Source organism: Homo sapiens, chromosome 10, assembly GCF_000001405.40.
Source record: "Homo sapiens chromosome 10, GRCh38.p14 Primary Assembly".
Classification (NCBI taxonomy): Eukaryota; Metazoa; Chordata; class Mammalia; order Primates; family Hominidae; genus Homo; species Homo sapiens.
In genome coordinates this window covers 119,239,907-119,258,932 of record NC_000010.11, presented here as the reverse complement: position 1 = coordinate 119,258,932, position 19,026 = coordinate 119,239,907, and the positions used below count along the sequence as shown (strand labels likewise).

The window sequence follows — 19,026 nt, the reverse complement described above, 5'->3', positions numbered from 1 at the left end:
AAAGCCAGCTCTCCTGAGAAGGGGGCAGGCTGGAGTGCCAGGGAATTGACAAGACTCCCGCAGGAGCCCTCAGTCAATAACTGACAGGGGATGGATTCTAGAAACTAGGCTTCCTGCCTGATGACATACCCTTTACCAGCTACCTTCCTTTTCCTCTCCCCTCTCCACTCCCCTGCTGGAGGTGGGGGGAGTTTCCTGGCATTGACCCCCGGATAAACTACTTACACTCAAATCATTGCACCAGAGTCCACTTCTGGGGAACCTAAACTAAAACAGGCAAGGGAGGCAGAGTCTTTGTTCCTTGCAATTAAAACGCCAAGCCCATATTGCCTCTGATCAATGTGAGAGCCTAGAACATAATGAAAGATAATGAATGCTCATGCATCACTGTTGAGAATGCAAGACGGTACAGCTCTTTGGAAAGCAGCTTGCAGGTTTCTTATAAAATTAAACATACACCTACCATGTGACCCAGCAATCCCACTCCTACATATTTACCCAAGTGAAAAGAAAACTTGTGTTCAGAGAAAAAACTGTTCGTGAATGCTTATAGTGGCTTTATTCATAATCACCAAAAATTGGAAACAACCCAAACATCCTTCAATTGGGGAATAAACAAACCCTGAACTCTTGCTCAGAAATAAAGGGAAACTGATACACATAACAACACAGACAAATCTCAAATACATTATGCTAAGTGAAAGAAATCAGACTCAAAAGGCTACACTCGGTGTGATTCCATGTATATGACATTCTTGTAAAGACAAAAAGCAGACCAGTGGTTGCCAGGGGCTGGGGCTAGGAGTAGGAGGTAACTACAAGGGAGTCTGGGGGAGTTTCAGGGGGTGATGAAAGTACTCCTGATTGTGGTGGTAGTTACATGACACCATGTGTACTAACTACGTGGTGTACACAGTTACAACACGCAGAACTATGCACTTTTAAGAGGCAGATGTTACTGTATATAAATTACATTTTCACTAAATAAATGGGAAAAAAATAAAAGAGAATGAAGGCAACACTCTGAGCAAGGACCCCAAAACATGATCTTAGACTAGCTGTGCCAGAATCCTGTCCTTGTCACAGCCAGGGCATAGCCATAACTGAGGAGCTGCACACAAGTCGGAGGCACCCCATCCACAGCGCCTTTTCACCAGTGGGCTCAGCCACTTTGCCCCAGCACTTTTTTGGGGGTTGTTTTCTTTTGTTTAGACAGAGTCTCGCTCTGTTGCCCAAGCTGGAGTTCAATGGCATGATCTCGGCTCATTGTAGCCTCCACTTCCCAGGCTCAAATGATTCTCCTGCCTCAGCCTCCTGAGTAGCTGGGACTACAGGCATCCGCCACCACACCTGGCTAATTTTTGTATTTTTAGTAGAGACAGGGTTTCACCATGTTGGCCAGGCTGGTCTCAAACTCCTGGCCTGAAGTAATCCACCCACCTCCGCCTTCCAAAGTGGAGGATTATAGGTGTGAGCCACCGTACCCGGCCCCTGCCCCAGCACTTTTGAAATAGACATACTCCCTCCCACCTGCGATGGTGCCACCCTCACTGAGGCGTGCCACCAGGGAGTTATATCAGACAGGGGGGCCTATGGGAGAGAATGTTCTCTTTTCCATTTCAGAATCACTGCTTCCGTGTTTCCAGAAGCCACTTGGAAAACATGTCAAAATACCCAGCCTACAGGTGGAGAACACTGACCAAAGTTTCCATTAGAGAAATTAAAAATAAGAACACTCCCCAAAGAACTCAAGGGACAGCAGGAGGCTGTAACTGAAGTTAAAACGAAGGTAGCATCAGTGGATGAGTGGATTAACAAATTGTGGTACATCCATCCAATGGAATATTATTCAGCCACAAAAAGTAATGAATCACTGATGCAGGCTGCAACATGGATGAACCTTGAAAACACTATGCTACGTGAAATTAACCAGATACAAAAAGCCACATATTGTATTATTTCATTTACGTGAAATGTCCACAATAGATAAATCCAGAGACAACCCAGATTGGCGGTTGCCAGGGACCGTGGTAGGGGCAAGTGGGAAGTGATCGCTATTAGATCCAGGGTTTCTTTTTGGGGTGATGGTGATGAAAGTGTTTTGGAATTAGATAGTGGTGATGGTTGCACAACATTGTGAATGTACAAAGACTATTAAATTTACACTTTAAAGTGGAGAATATTATGGTACGTGAATTATCTCTCAATAAAAAGAGGGGGGATGTTCCAAAGCAAAATATTCATTACCAGAGACACAGTCACGACCTCAGAGATAGAATAAAGAGGCGACGGGTGAGGGGTGGGGTGCAATAGGGGTGAAGGGTGGGGTGCGATAGAGGTGAGGGGTGGGGTGCTGTGGCCCAGGGCCTCCCCTTCCCACTCCATGTACCCAGAGAGCAGCAGGAAATACTGTGTACAGGAGGCAGCAGGGCCTGGTTGTTACTCAGCTGTGTGAGCTCCAACAAGTTTCCTACATTCTCTGAACCCCAAGGAGCCTTTCTGCAAAGAGAAGAGTAGGCCTAGAGGATGGAGGATGAGGGACCAGGGGACAAGAAGTGGCTGGCGACTACCGGAGCCAGGACTCCAGACTCCCACCTGCTGGTTTCACGCCCCCTCCCAAGCTCCCAGGCTGGTGCTGTGAGGTGTGTGGGGGGGTCCGCCCAGAGGGAAAGGCAAATCTGGCCGGGAATGCAGAGTCTCCACAGGAGTCGAGGCCACTGAAGGGCAGCCCTGCAGGCAGCGAGAGGGTGGCTCTGGGAGGCTTTCCTGGGACAGTGTGCAGTGGAGGCTGGGCCAAGACTGGGATCCTCTCCTGACAGAGGACTGTCAATACCAAGTCTCGGTGTCTTCTATTTGCAAAGGGTTTCAAACTGGTTTGCTTGAATAACTATTTTACACAATGGTTGCAATAACTTCACAGTCATATCCAAGTTACTTACTAGGAAATGGAAGTTCAGCAAAGTGAGAGACTATATAGCCCAAGCCAGCTCCTGTGTCATTCCTCCAAGAAGCCTTCCCTGGCTGCCTCAAGTGGTTGTTCCCTGGGCCCAGAGCCCTCCCTGCATCCCAGCTTCTACAACCCGGTCAGCTCTCGAGGGCAAAGCCAGGCCTTGCTCGTCTGTGTACCTACGACTGCTAGCACAATCCATGATAAATGATGGCTCGAAGCAAGAGGGCTAACTCACCACCTTGTCCCTCAAGGAGCCCGTGTCTGGGAGAATGGGCAGAAAACACACCAGGACAGGGGGCAGCAGGCATGGCGGGAACGGCCAGAGGCTCTGGAGTCTGGTGAGGCTGAAGTCCCACCTTTACCCTGACCTTGCGCAGCCACAGAGCTCTCTGAGTCTCAGTGCCTGCTCCATGACTCTGTGATAATGAGCCAGCGGTGTTAGTACAAAGTGAGCATCTGGGGAAGAGTCCACGCCAGTGAAAATCACACAAGAGCCTTTCCAAAACCACCACTCAGTCCAAACAGAAAGAGCCTCTAAGTGCAGAGGGACTCAGAAGGGAGAGGTCATTGGAGTTAGGTGAAGTCGATGTGACAAAGCTTCCTGGAAGGGGTGTCCTGTGTGTCAGCTTCCATCCTGCTGGTGACAAAGGCCCCTGCTATCTTGTGTTCCAAGTGGAAAGAGCCTGGGTCCCTGATACCCCTGAGAATAAGAGATCCACCTCTGGCCATAGCTGCTGTCCCTCCAGAAGCCTGTGCCACACCCCTCCCTGGATCCTATCTCTCCCAGCAGCTCTCTCTCCTCCCATCAGGGAAGTCAAGGCCACCTCCGGGCTTCCAAATGGCTCATCTCCTGGCCTCCTCCCACCTGACGACCTTACCTGCGCATACATACACAGAGCTTCCTGCTCTACTCTGTTTTTCCTTCTTTTTTTTTTTTTTTTTTTGAGACTGAGTCTTGCTCTGTCGCCCAGGCTGGAGTGCAATGGCGCAATCTCGGCTTCCTGGGTTAAAGCAATTCTCCTGCTTAAGCCTCCTGAGTAGCTGGGATTACAGGCACCTGCCAACATGCCCAGCTAACTTTTGCATTTTTAGTAGAGATGGGGTTTCACCACATTGGCCAGGCTGGTCTCGAACTCCTGACCTCAGGTGATCCATCCGTCTCAGCCTCCCAAAGTGCTGAGATTACAGGCGTGAGCCACCGTGCCCGGCCTGTTTTTCCATTTTTTTCTTACAAAATACATCATACATCCCAAGGTCCCTGTTTTGATATGTCTCTGCCTGTGAATCCCACCTCCTCCTGGAGAAATAGTCCAGAGTCATCCACACTCAGATTGCTGGGCTGGGCACCTGACCCAGGCCACAGAGCTGAAATGACATCCTCCGTGCCCCAGCCATCAACTCCCACCCCTTCTCCCTCCCCATACTGGCCAGAAATAAGATAGCCACACCCGCTACAAATCCCATGCACGGTTTCTTGTTCCAAGCTGCCTTTCCCATTAGGCTGTAAGCCCCCTGAGCACAAGGACCAGGTCTGCCTGTTCCCCAGTAAATCCCCAGAGTTGTTGAATGAATAAGAGCAGAGTACAAAAAAAAAAATCTAAAACTTATCACAATACACTGTCTAAAAACTAAAGTAGGGCAGAACAGAACAGACCAAACCCTTCTCTGAGGATCAAGAGACAGGATTTGAGTTCTAGCTGTGCAACCCTGGGAGGGTCATAGGTCCTCTCTGGCCCTCAGTTTCCTCCTCCTTTAAAACAAGCCACTGGGCCAAGATGACCTTTCAGGCCCCCTACAACTCAAGTACTGGATGATTCTGAAAGCATTTTTCAAAGGCGCTTAGAATTACAAGAGTCCCACTTTAGGGGACAGTCACCGGCCCAGCAGGCCTCATGTGTGGCTCATCTTTCCCCGCTGTGGTGTGGTTTGGTTTAAAGGCAAAGTCAGAGGAGACACATCAGCCCTGTTGACTAAAGCGTAATATTTTCCATCAGGTGTCACGGCTTTCTGTACTTTCTCCTTTTCCCCTGGGGAATCTCAAAAAGAGTCCATGTGAACATCTGAAAATAAGTGTGCCTCATGAAAAAGCATGCACGCACACACATGTGTACACACACACACACACACACACACACCCCTGGGGCAAAGAACCACCAGGAACCCAAACACTAAACAACCTCCAGCCCCCCACCCCAGGCAAAGCTCCAGAAGCCGTATCTGGGAGACACTGCATTTTTCTGGAATTGTGTCATCATTCACAACAAAGTTCACTCTCAGGCCTTGCATCCACCCCGGAGCTGGGCTGGGCTGCCCAGAGCCACAGTGAAAAAAGAGCTGGCCACTCACACCATTTTTATGGTGAGCCGTGACCTCCAAACGAGCTGGGTGTGCGCCGGGCTGAAGCCCTGGTTCCAGCCGTGGTGGGGCAGCATCCCGCAAGCATATCACAGCACCCTAAGCTCCAGGGCTTAGACCCAGGCAAGAGGCATGAAAAATAGAGCAGCTACACGGAGGAGCCTAAGCTTCTGATTTAAATATAAAAGGAACGGAGGGCAGGGGTGGTGGGGAGGCTGGCTTGTCCCTCTTCTCCACAGGCCTGGCAGGATCCAGGGGGCTGTGGAGATCACTGAGTTAGGAGAAGACATCAGTGACCTGATGTAATTCCTTTTCTAATGCAATGCTGAACTGGAGATAGTTCACAGATGCTCCAATCTTCCTTGCTTGTCCTTCAAATTTCGGACTCTATCAAGGGCCTCTGTAATCTCAACAGACCCTCAGATGTGAGCTCAAGGGGGCACTGGGTGGTGTAGACACCCTCTGTCAAACCTGTGCTGTCACCACTGAGCCACCAACTCTCCCTCATCAGCAGATTAGTACAGCAGGGTTGAAACCAGCCTTGAGCACTAAGGGGGCGTATCAGGAAAACCAGGGCACTGTCCCCTCTCCAGTGTGGCTAGGGGATCCTCTGTAGTCCACACTGGCCATGACCCTCACCCTTCAGGGTCCATCATTTTCCCTAAGACCACCTGGCCTTTGGAACACTTGGTTTATTGGCCCCAGGGGAGGAGGGTGACTGACCTGATACATCTGGGCAAGTTCCAAAGTTCAAAGTTTCAACCATGGCCTCATCTCTCAATTTGTTCAGGGAAGAAAAATGCTATTTATTGAGGTATCCTCTACGACCCATAAAAATGAGGCAAAAGCCACAGAGTGACCCCAAGCCCTTCACAGACACTTGCCCCCAAATCAGGAACTCAGGACTCAAAGCAAATTTAGGAAGGCCACATTTCCGTCTCTTAACAGCACCATCTTTTTCTACAAATCAGGAGAAAAATAGAAAGGTAGACTGTTCTAGTTGGAAGTCAGCTTTACGAGAAACATGAGGACCAGAAGGAAGACACTATTTGCACAAGATCGTGCTGCTACCCGGGGTAGAACTAAAACCATGCCCAGGTCTCGAGACACCCGGTCCAGTGCCCTTCCCCGCCTCTCCAGCGTAGCCCTCTGCACCCAGCTCAGGGTTCTGGCCCATCCACACGGCCCAGAGAGAGACACTTCTCCCCTACCCCCAGCCCTGGGAAAGGGCTGCACGCTGGCCCCTAGGATCCAGCTGAAAGCCTCTCCTGGCAACTTCACCCTGTCTCTGCCCTTCAGGTTCCAAAAGGAGAAACAAGACAGCTCTCTGCCCGTCGCAGGCCTGGGCTGCCCAGAGGTCACAGCACAGTGATCCATCAACTGTCAACTCCACCAGGACCTGTAGCTGGGGCTGGCAAGCTCACCCCACCCAGATGGTTTCCCTTTGCATGGCTGTCTCCAGGATGGTCCTGCTACTCACACAGCTGCCCCTATCGGCACGAGCACGCCACGCAGGCCAGCAGCAAGAGGGATGGTCAGGGAGAGTGAAGACATATGTCTGACTTAGACTTCAGTCACCTGAGCCAGAATTGTACTTGGCACATCTGTCCAGATGCAGCAATATCTCAAGGCAGGGAGGGTGGGATGAAAAGAAGAAAATCAAGTTCTAATCCTTAGTGGAAGGGCTGAGGATTGGATATGCACAGGGCGGAGAAGCAGCTTGCAAATTCTAGACCACCAAAATCGAGGCGAGTGGTTCTCAACCAGGAGCAATTTTACCCCCAAGAGGACATTTGACAAAGTCTGGAGACATTTTTGGTTGTCATAACTATGAAGCTAAAGGCCACAGATGCTGTTAAACATCATCCAACGCACAGGCCGGCCCCCATGACAAAGAATTATCCAGCCCCAGATGGCAACGGTGTCAAGGTTGACAAACCCTGCTTTAGGTGTGTAGATGCTAGAAGGTTTTTTGTTTTATTTTCTTTCCCCCAGACATCTTTCATCATCGCTTTAGAAGACAGCAAGAAAATAACGTGGGAGTATGACAATTACAACTCCAGATAAATGTTCGCAGCCTGTCAGAATGGAAGCCTGGGCTTCTTCCTCTGTTCCAGTGACTCAGTAACTGAAGCTGCGGAGAGGAAGGCCAAGGCTTCGGGAGACAGCTCCGAGTAAAGACAGGCTTAAGACAAAGTTCTGAGTATGTTCTTGAAAAGCTCAGGCATCACAGAAAGGCATTGGTGATGCCATAAACATCCAGCTTGTGCTGCCTTTGAAATCTGATTGAACAAGAAATACTCTTACAGAGCCTTTTGGTTATAGTCTGCTTTTTGTTTTAACATGGTTTTAATCAGGAAATCATGGCTCTTTGTTCCTTCAGGAAATTCTGTCAAATGGTTCACATTCCTTGTAAAGAACTACTGTCTATGCAAATTAAGATTCAGAGTTTTAAATTCAAACAGTTTGGGAGCAAGCAGCGTTTTGTTGTTGTTTCTTAATGTCAACGTGAGAAAAAAAAAAAGTGAGGGGAGGAAAGAATGCAAATGTTCGTCATTGAAAACACACACAAAACCAGAAACATTTTCCCCTCATGCACAAGGTCAGGAGTCTCTGGGTGAATGAAGCTGCTTCATGTTTTGCAGACGCGCTGATGGAACATGGGAAATACTGTTGCAAAGGCCCTCGATAGGAGAGCGTGGAGATGCCTAGAAATAGACATATCACCCAACAACGGGTTATCTATGAGAACTGCATTGTTCTCAGTGTGACTGGGCAGCACAGGCTATGGCATCGGGATATGAAAAATATAGTAACATACTCTATTACACATCCTCTTTACTCAGAGCAAGAGGAGATAAACACAGGTCATGACTAAGCCACTTTCTCCAACGTTCACTTCCAATTTTGTGTGTAGCTCTGATCCAGTCATCAAGGTGCTGACTTAAGGAAAAAGTGTGGATGGAATATGTGGTGTAGGGCCAGGCACAGTGGCTCATGCCTGTAATCCCAGCACTTTGGGAGGCCGAGGCAGTAGGATCATTTGAGTCCAGGAGTTCAAGACCTGGGCAACAAAGTGAGACCTTGACTGTACAAAAAAAAAAAAAAAATTTAAATGAGGCTGTAGGATGCCTGGAGCCTGGGAGATCAAGGTTGTAATAGGTTGTGATGACGCCACTGCACTCCAGCCTGGGTGACAGAGCGAGACCCTGCCTCAAATAAAAGAAAAAGAAAAAGTTAAAGAAAATGACTATCTCTGACGTTGCCTTATCCTTCCTGGAATTAGGGAGAATGGCAAAGAAAGTTGTATGAAGGCCCCCACAACTGAGTTCAAACCCTACATCCACAAGTAGCTTCAGGACCTGGAGCAGGTGATTTAATTTCTCTGAGCCCCTCAGTTTCTTCATCTGTAAAATGAAAATTTACAGGTCAAAGGCTTAACACAGAAGAGACTCTCACTCAACAAACAATGAGCATGTTCTGACTGAAGGCTTTCCAGGGAGATTCACCCCACAGGTCTGGGCACAGCACTCCTAGACTCTGAAGAGCCTCTGTGGAGGTCAGAGGCTCTTTGAGGATTCAGTGTTCTTTTCTAAGCCCTAGTCCCTATCCAGAGTTGCCAAGAATGCGGGAAAGCAGAGACTCCACTGTTGGGAGCATGACTTAGTGGGGCCATTCTGGAAGGCAATTTGTTAAGACCCTTCATCTTTAAGCCCACTGCCAGGTATCTGTGACATCCTTGCACACGTGCACAAAGAGTTATGCACTTACAATAACAATGACACAGTAATAGTAAACTTTTTTGAGCATTTAAAAAGTTCAAAGTCAGCTGGACGCAGTGGCTCACGCCTATAATCCCAGCATTTTGGGAGGCCGAGGTAGGCAGATCACCTGAGGTCAGGAGTTCAAGACCAGCCTGGCCAACATGATGAAACCCCATCTCTACTAAAAATATTTAAAAAATTAGATGGGCATGGTGGAGCGCACCTGTAGTCCCAGCTACTTAGGAGGCTGAGACAAGAGAATTGCTTGAACCTGGGAGATGGAGATTGCAGTGAGCCGAGATCGCGCCATTGCACTCCAGCCTGGGCAACAGAGTGAGACTCCATCTCAAATAAGTAAAATAAAATAAAATAAAATGTTTAAAGTGTTTACACACAATTCATACATATTTGATACATGATATACCTGGTGTGTCACATAATATTTATTTGATATATGTACTAAGTAACTTAGATAAGCCTACAAAGTAGGTATTCTACATATGATATTTATTTGATATATATATTAAGTCACTTCACCCTACAAGGTAGGTATTATTAGTATCTCCTTTTTGTTTTTCGTTTTTTGTTTTTTGAGACGAAGTTTCGCTCTTGTTGCCCAGGCTGGAGCACAATGGCACGATCTCGGCTCACTGCAACCTCCGCTTCCTGGGTTCAAGTTATTCTCCTGTCTCAGCCTCCTGAGTAGCTGGGATTACAGGCACCCGCCACCATGCCCGGCTAATTTTTTTGTATATTTAGTAAAGACGGGGTTTCACCATGTTGACCAGGCTGGTCTTGAACTTCTGACCTCAGGTGATCCACCCACCTCAGCCTCCCAAAATGCTGGGATTACAGGCATGAGCCACCGCGCCCAGCTAGTATCTCCATTTTAAAGAAAAGAAAGTTGAGACATGGAGAGATTAGTAACTTGCCCTAGGTCAGAGGTCGGCAAATGTTTTCTGTAAAAGGCCAGATGGTAAATATTCTAGGTGGGCCATATGGTCTCTGTCACAACTACTCAATTCTGTGGCATGAAAAAAGCCCTAGATAATAGATCCACAAATGAGCATGCTGTTCAACAAAACAAGTTAATGGACACTGAATTTTGAATTTCACACCGTTTTCATATATTAGGAAATACTTACCTTTTTTTTTTAACCATTTAAAAATGAAAAAATCAGTCTTGCCTCACAGGCCCTACAGAAACACAGCGGGGTGGATTTGCCATGGAGGCTATAGCTTGCCACCCCCTGCCCTAGGTCACTCATCTAGTCTAAGTCCTGTTTCAAAGCCAGGCAGTCTAAGCTCCACAAGGCACATTCATAATCTCATGCTATCATTGCTTCATTTAGTATCAAAAAGAAAGGGTGAGGAAATGGCTCAATAAATTAGGAACAGAATTCATATTATGGAACGCCCTGCAGGATTAAAAAAATGTCATCTGCACATGGGCCAGTGTGAAGGAACTCTGGATGTGTAAGTGAAAAAAGCAAGCTGTACATCAACACACACATCATGACCCTCTTTTTATGGATCAAAAATAACGACAACAGCCAGCGATAGTGGCTCACTTCTATAATCCTAGCACTTTGGGAGGCAGAGGCAGGAGGATTGCTTGAGCCCAGGAGTTTGAGACCAGCCTGGGCAACATGGCAAGACCCTTTCTCCACACAAAAATTTAAAAATTGGCTGGGTGTGGTGGTACATGCCTATAGTCCCAGCTCCTTCAGAGGCCAAGGTGGGAGGATTGCTAGAGTCCAGGAGGTTGAGGCTGCAGTGAGCTATGATCACACCAGTGCACTCCAGCCTGAGACCCTGTCTCAAAAGAAATTAAAATAAAAATAAAGCTAATTACGTATTTGTGTGCATATGGATATAAACACTTGTTCACTCACATATAAACAGTCAGCATTTAGAAAGATGTCTGGAAAGATTATCACCAAATGTCAGCAGCCAGGCAGGGTGGGGGGGACTTTCATGATTGTCTGTATATATATGTGCCCCTATAATTTGAAACTTTTACATCCCAAATGCATCCTTCTATTATGTGTATCATAAAAGAAAATGATTGAGGTACTAGTTACAAGTCACCACTTGCCAACACACTTTGAGCTCTCTGAGCAGTTTCCATGTGGCCCCCTCTAAACAAAAGCTGGTTACAATTAATTATGGCAGGACAAAGACATTTTTTCCAGAGGGCAAAACAAACAAACAAACAAAGGTGGCATAAACTATAGTAAATAAACATAGCTGTGTCTCTTTGACCATCACCAGTGATTTTGTTTTAATTGCTATTAAACATGTGCATGACCTAACCTTCTCCAGACACTATTAACCTCCAACCCCAGGATGTCGGTTGTAAACAAAGCCTTCAAGGGTTTCATCTGGTGTGTGATAGTCCAGGCATAGCTTTCCTGACTACATAAACTTTAATTTATAAAGTTATTTTGGTTTGCTCCACTGGCATGAACATAGCTGAAGGGGGAGTCATCGACTGTGGAAATGAGATTTCCCTCAGTGCCAATTTTAAATCCAGCCTCCAGGTCATCGTATTTTTCTGGATGCTTCTCACAGTCACATTTTTTGTTTGTTTGTTTTACATGAAAGAGCACATTCCCTTTCCCCAAGTCAGGTTTACCATTTTCCATTGCTCTTATTAAACGTATCTTATTCTAATGGAATGTTCTCAGAGTTTCCGCCCTCCGCTGGCCTGGGTAAGAGAGGTCTGGAGTTGGACGCCCTAGGACGGACAGTCACTCAGATGCCGAGCTCCAGGCCATTGCCAAGCACCACCTCATCACAACTGCAGAAAGCAACGGGGTACAAAATCCCATCCTCGGGCCAGGGCACGGATCTGACCCCGGCATCCCAGATTCCTTCTCAGATCTGGATAGAACCCAAGAGGCTCTCAGCGAGGCCCTCTGTGCCAGTTAAAACAGCAGCTGGCTGAGGCAGTGTCTGAAGGTGCGGAAATGCAAATCCACGAGGAGACCAGCCCTTCTCAGGTGACATTCCCATCAGAGCTGTGAGGGCCTTCTGTTGACCAAACAGTGAAGGTTTTCAACCCCAAGCAACACCTGCTTTGGAAGGTGCAGGAGGGAGCTTTAAACCTCAACTAGGTATGCCATGCTAATCCCAAATTCGTGACATAATTGTACGCTCTGCCACACAATTCTAGCCGATGTCTGAACTGGGCCATCTCATTGTGGCCTCCAGACACCACTTCTTGAATGTGGCCATGACCAACATCCTTGGCAGATTAACTGGTGATAGGACATTACTTAACCCTTAACCCAAGGCAATCTTAATTCCTCTTTTGTGATGGGATCAATTTTATGTTTTCCAAATGCTTCCCATTACATCAGGAACAAAAAATAAACTATTATAAAATTTACATGATTTGGTATACACATACAGTCAGCCCTCCCTATCCACAGGTTCCACATCCATGGATTCAACCACCCTCCAACTGAAAACTCTTGAGGGGGAAAAAAAAAGCCGTCTGTACTGAACACATATAGACTTTTTTCTTGTCATTATTCCCTGAACAACACAGTATAACAACTATTACACAGCATTTACATTGTATGAGGTATTATAAGTAATCCAGAGATTAGAGTTTGGATGATGATGTGCATAAGTTATATGTGAATACTATGTCACTTTATATCAGGGACTTGAGCATCCATGGATTTAGTATATAAGGGGGGACCTGGAACCAATGACCAAAGGATACTAAGGGATAACTGTATATTTTTATTGTGATTTTAAAAAACACAACATGAGATCTGTTCTCTTAACAAATTTATCTTTTTTTCTTTTTTTTTTTTTTTTTTTTTTTTTTGAGATGGAGTCTCGCTCTGTCACCCAGGCTGGAGGGCAGTAGCATGATCTCGGCTCACTGCAGGCTCTGCCTCCCGGGTTCACGCCATTCTCCTGCCTCAGCCTCCCGAGTAGCTGGGACTACAGGCACCCGCCACCATGCCCAGCTAACTTTTTTGTATTTTTTTAGTAGAGACGGGGTTTCATCATGTTAGCCAGGATGGTCTCAATCTCCTGACCTCGTGATCCGCCCGCCTCGGCCTCCCAAAGTGCTGGGATTACAGGCGTGAGCCACCGCGCCCGGCCTTAACAAATTTTTAAGTGCACAGTATGATTAACTATAAGCACAATGTTATACAGCAGACCTCTCAAACTTTCTCATCTTGTATATCAGAAACTTTATACCCACTGAGCAACAATTCTCCATTTCCCTCTCCCCTGGCAACCACCATTCTCTTATGAGTTTGACTACTATAAATTTCTCATATGAATGGAATTGTGCATTATTTGTTCTTCTGTGACTAGCTTATTTTACTTACGATAATGTCCTACAAGTTCATACATGTTGTGGCTATGGCAGGATTTCCTTTTTAATAAGGCTGGATAGTATTCCATTGCACGAACACGCCACAGTTTTTTCATTTCATTCATTTACCTATAGACTTTGAGGTTGTTTCCACCTCTCGGCTATTATGAATAATGCTGCAATGAACAAGGGAGTGCAAATATCTCTTTGAGATCCCGATTTGAATTCTTTTTTTTTTTAAGAAAGAGTCTTGCTCTGTCGCCAGGCTGCAGTGCAGTAGTGCGATCTTGGCTCACTGCAACCTCCGCCTACTGGGTTCAAGAGATTCTTCTGCCTCAGTCTCCAGAGTACCTGGGACTACAGGCACACGCAACCACGCCCAGCTAATTTTTTTGTATTTTTAGTAGAGACGGGATTTCACCATGTTGGCCAGGATGGTCTTGATCTTCTGACCTCGTGATCCACCCACCTCGGCCTCCCAAAGTGCTGGGATTACAGGTGCGAGCCACCGCGCCCAGCCTTGAATTCTTTTGGATAAAAACCCAGAAGTGAGATTGCTGGACCATGTGGTAATCCTACTTTTAATTTTTTGAGGAACCTCCATACTATTTTCCATAGTAGCTGACTATGCTATTTTATATCCCCACCAACAGTGCACAACTGTTCCCATTTCTCCACATCTTCATCAACAAGTTATTTTTTGTTTTTATTATAATATCTGTCCTAACAGGTATGAGGTGACAGCTCATTGTGGTTTTTTGGGTTTTTGTTTTGTTTTGTTGAGACAGGGTCTCAACTCTGTTGCTCAGGCTGGAGTGCAGTATTGCAATCACAGCTCACTGCAGCTTCGACCTCCTGGGTCCAAATGATCCTCCCACCTCAGCCTCCTGTGTAGCTAGGACTATAGGCCCAAGCCACCATGCCCGGCTAATTTTTTGTTTTTTCTGTAGAGATGGGGGTCTCACTTTGTTGCCCAGGCAACACATTGAGGTTTTGATTTGCATTTTTCTAATGACTAGTGATATTGAGCATCTTTTCATATACTTATAGTCATTTGTATACCTTCTTTGGAGAAATGTCTGTTCAATTCCTTTGCTCATTTTTTAATCAGGTTTTTTGTTGCTGTTGTTGTTGTTATTGAATAGTAGGAGTTCCTTATATATTTTGCATCTTAACTCCTTATCAGACACATGATTTAAAAATATACAATTTACTTTAGAGCAGTGTCTTATGGTCTATTAGAATATAAATTTTTCAGTCATGTTTATATCAAGGGGATGGCAAGATAAGGCCTGTGGGCCAAATCTGGCCCAACACCTGTTCTTGTAAATAAAGTTTTATTGGCACACTGTCATGCCCATTTCTTTAGGTATAGCCTGTGGCTGCTTTCAAACTACAATGGCAGAGCTGAGTGCCTGCAACAGAAGCCATATGGCTCATAAGCCTTAACTACTTATCATCTGCCCTTTATAGAGACAGTGTACTAAACCCTGGTAGCTACTATATGATCAAGCTGAAGAGCATGTCTACTTTGTCCCCAATCATAACGTGACAGAAAGGACACCTCTGGGTCAGATTATGCTCTTTTATAAACTATGATTTTTGTCATTGAAAACAACTATAAAATCTAGGCTCCTACCACTCAGGCAGAGAAGTGACTGATGAACCACTAGGTCCTATCAGGGGTGCCTCGTGCTCACACAGTTGTGGTTTTCACTGTGTGGCACTCCTTCATCCCCTTCTTCAGTAAGTCATTCCACATGACCCCCACCATCCTTCCCAAGAGAGTCCTTTCCGTGACTTTCCTGCTGGTTTTCAGAAAAGAAGCTCTATTTGCCTTGGGGTTGTTAAGCAAGCTGTTCTTTGACCCCCTGACCCAGCCAAGAATTAAGCAGAGGAAAGACAAGCAAGCTGAGAGATAGGGACAGAAAGAAAAAAAAAAAAAAAAAGAAAAACTGGGAACATTGTTTGAATCCTTGGATCCAGAAATCCAGGAATACTCCCAGACATATGAATCCATAAATTCTCTTTTTTGTATACACTAATTATATTTGAGTTGCTATCAGTTGCTGTCAAAGGGTTTCTAAGCACTATAGTTGGGATTTTGTAATGTTCTACTTCTTGCATTTATGAGTTTATATATTATTTTTCATGATTCTATATTATTTTAATAGGTACATAACCCATCAGATGGGACAAACTCGACCTGGCCACCTAACATGCCGACACAGAGCACACCTCCCTGGGTGCCACAATCCTGCTGTATCAGTCCATTTTCTGAGATGGAGTCTTGCTCTTTCACCCAGGTGGGAATGCAGTGGTGTGATCTCAGCTCACTGCAACTTCCACCTCCCAGGTTCAAGCAATTCTCCTGTCTCAGCCTCCTGAGTAGTTGGGATTACAGGCACACCTCCATGTCCAGCTAATTTTTGTATTTTTAGTAGAGACAGGGTTTCATCATGGTGGCCAGGCTGGTCTTGAACTCCTGACCTTAGGTGATCCGCCTACCTCACCCTCCCAAAGTGCTGGGATTATAGGCGTGAGCCACTGCGCCTGGCCTATTAGTCTGTTTTCACATTGCTATAAGAACTGCCCGAGACTGGGTAATTTATAAAGGAAGGGGGTTTAATTGACTCACAGTTCAGCATGGCTGGGGGCGGGGGGAGCTCAGGAAACTTACAATCATGGCGGAAGGCAAAGGGGAAGCAAGACACCTTCTTCACAAGGTGGCAGGAAGGAGAAGTGCCAAGCCAAGGGGAAAGAGCCCCTCATAAAACCATCAGATCTCATGAGAACTCACTCACTATCACAAGATAGTTCACAAGAACAGCAAGGTGGAAACCATCCCCATGATTCAATTTCCTCCAACTTGTCCCTCCCTTGATACGTGGAGATTATGGGGGTTACAATTCAAGATGAGATTTGGGTGGGGACACAAAGCCCTAACCATATCACCTGCTTTGGTGTATCTCGTGTGCAGCAGACACACTGGGCACCATGATGCCAGGGCAGCTCTTGGATGCAGGAGAGCACTGTCAGCCAGTCAGGTACCCAGCTCACTGACAAGCTCAGGTGTGGCCAGGCAGGCACCAGTGCTCGGCAAGACTGCCTTCCTGACGTCAATGCAGCACAGCTTGTGGGCTTTCAGCTATGAAAAACCTACATCATTCCTGCCCCCGCTCCGATTCCATCCCTCAGAGCTGAGACTAAGCTAGATCGGGCTCCCCACCTGGCAGTAAAACTTTTCCACTCAGCATTCAATCTCTGGTCACTCAGTCGTTATTCTTCTTTAATAGGGTGTAAGTTATTAATAAAGGGGACCAAAATATGCCACCCGAAAATATACCACTTTGGCATAAGAATTGTTTTCAGCTGAAGGCAATTAGCTCTCTGCCCTTCTTCTGCCTAAAAGCAGGGCATAAATTTCTACTTGTAAAGATGTCTCCCTCCTCCCCCACAGCAGGAAGAAAAGCAGACAACTCTTAGCACCTGAGACAACTCTTACCTACTAAACAACCCTTATTTACCATACATTTCCTCCCCTTACCTTCCCATGGCTTCCCTACCCTCCAGAAGCCCAAAACTCCTTTTCTTTTTTAGCCTAAGATGGTATATAAGCCCCAAATCCTAGCTGCCTCCTTGAGCCACATTTCCCTATGAACTCCAGTGCCTAAGAATCCAATTAAATCCATTTTTTCTCTTGTTAATCTTTTGTCAACTTCATTTGTAACCCCCAACCAATGAACCTAAGAGGGCGGAGGAAAACGGCTCTTCCTCCTCTCCACCTGTGTGATTTGCAGGCCATTCCCTCAAGCAGGCAATTCCACAATCAAGGCAAAGACCATGTTCCCAGCCACCCCGACTGTCTCAGGGCCTGGGCACAGTGAAAGGCTCACTGGGTGAATGAATGAACATCCCCTATGTGCCCACCACTATGCCAATTTTCACAATTATATACAACACTACCATCAACTCTTTCCACAGCTATGCCAGCTTCATTTTCGTGAAAGGTGTTCTGAAAGAAGTTTGCAGTTAACGGTGTGGGACAGAATTTGAAGAAAGACCCGCATCAGGAAAAGCTAGTTGAACATTTTGGCAAAGTCTTATTGAACCTGTCAGTTGCTGACAGGGCTGGGAAGAGAGTGCACTAAAGGCCATCTGGCATGCATCCCTGACACAAAGGTGTTCTAGGGTCACTTTCCCCTTTTGCCCGTAGGAAACCGCAGTCTATGAGCACAGGGACCACAGAGCCAACCCCTCACGTGGCCTTTGCTCTTCTCCATTTGATTCTCACAGAAGCCCCGGGGATAGATGACGGCACCCTGCCCACGTCACAGACGAGGAAGCTGAGGCCGGAGGAGGAGGGCTATCTGCTACAGGTCAGTCCACCAGGAAGCACGCAACAAGGGACTAGAACACGGATTTTTTTCCAGTCTCCGATCTCCACCCTTTGCAATAGTCCACGGTTAAGGAGAGAACAAGTGGCCCCCAGCAAAGGGTTGAGAGCCCCCGGCACAATCCTGCCTGCTCCGACCCCAGAGCCCTTTGGCCTGGGCATCTGCATTCCTGGATGTTCTAGATATGCAGCATTCAGTCATGGTCCTTTTGCCTTTCAAAACTGCTCCTGGCTGGGCACAGTGGCTTGAGCCTGTAATCCTAGCTACTTGGAAGCTAGGGAGGCTGAGGCAGGAAGATTGCTTGAGCTCAGGAGTTCAAGTCTAGACTGGGATACGTGGTGAGACCACGTCACTTAAAAAAAAAATTGCAATCTATCCATCTGACAAAGGGCTAATGTCCAGAATCTACAAAGAACTTAAATTTACAAGAAAAAAACAACCCCATCAAAAAGCGGGCAAAGGATATGAACAGATACTTCTCAAAAGAAGACATTTATGTGGCCAACAAACATATTAAAAAAAAGCTCATCATCACTGGTCATTAGAGAAATGCAAATCAAAAACACAATAGATGCCATCTCATGCCAGTTAGAATGGTGATCATTAAAAAGTTGGGAAGGCCGGGCGTGGTGGCTCATGCCTGTAATCCCAGCACTTTGGGAGGCTGAGGCGGGCAGATCATGATGTCAGGAGGTCGAGACCATCCTGGCTAACATGGTGAAACCCCGTCTCTACTAAAAATACAAAAAAATTAGCCGGGCATGGTAGCAGGCGCCTGTAGTCCCAGCTACTCAGGAGGCTGAGGCAGGAGAATGGCATGAACCCAGAGGAAAGAGCTTGCAGTGAGCGGAGATCCTGCCACTGCACTCCAGCCTGAGTGACAGAGTGAGACTCCGTCTCAAAAAAAAAAAAAAAAAAAAAAAAAAAAAGTCGGGAAACAGATGCTGGAGAGGATGTGGAGAAATAGGAATGCTTTTACACTGTTGGTGGGAATGTAAATTAGTTCTACCATTGTGGAAGACAATGTGGTGATTCCTCAAGGATCTAGAGCCAGAAATACCATTTGACCCAGCAGTCCCATTACTGGGTATATACCCAAAGGATTATAAATTATTCTACTATAAAGACACACGCACACGTATGTTTATTGCAGCACTGTTCACAATAGCAAAGACTTGGAACCAACCCAAATGCCCATCAATGACAGACTGG

General features: G+C 46.4%; 1 protein-coding gene across 1 annotated transcript in view, besides 2 other annotated features; it reads right to left on the bottom strand.

Annotated features, from left to right (window-relative positions):
- GRK5 (G protein-coupled receptor kinase 5) overlaps positions 1–19,026 on the bottom strand; it is a 252,175-nt gene that overhangs the window by 200,813 nt on the left and 32,336 nt on the right. The gene's annotated exons all lie outside the window — the stretch shown is intronic.
- Positions 16,434–17,000: an enhancer, noted in NCBI's record as "H3K4me1 hESC enhancer chr10:121001445-121002011 (GRCh37/hg19 assembly coordinates)". NCBI's record gives its function as "activates a minimal SCP1, AML or CMV promoter by ChIP-STARR-seq in primed H9 embryonic stem cells {active_cell/tissue: H9 hESC(primed)}" and the evidence as "EXISTENCE:reporter gene assay evidence [ECO:0000049][PMID:30033119]".
- Positions 17,669–18,170: an enhancer, noted in NCBI's record as "H3K27ac hESC enhancer chr10:121000275-121000776 (GRCh37/hg19 assembly coordinates)". NCBI's record gives its function as "activates a minimal SCP1, AML or CMV promoter by ChIP-STARR-seq in primed H9 embryonic stem cells {active_cell/tissue: H9 hESC(primed)}" and the evidence as "EXISTENCE:reporter gene assay evidence [ECO:0000049][PMID:30033119]".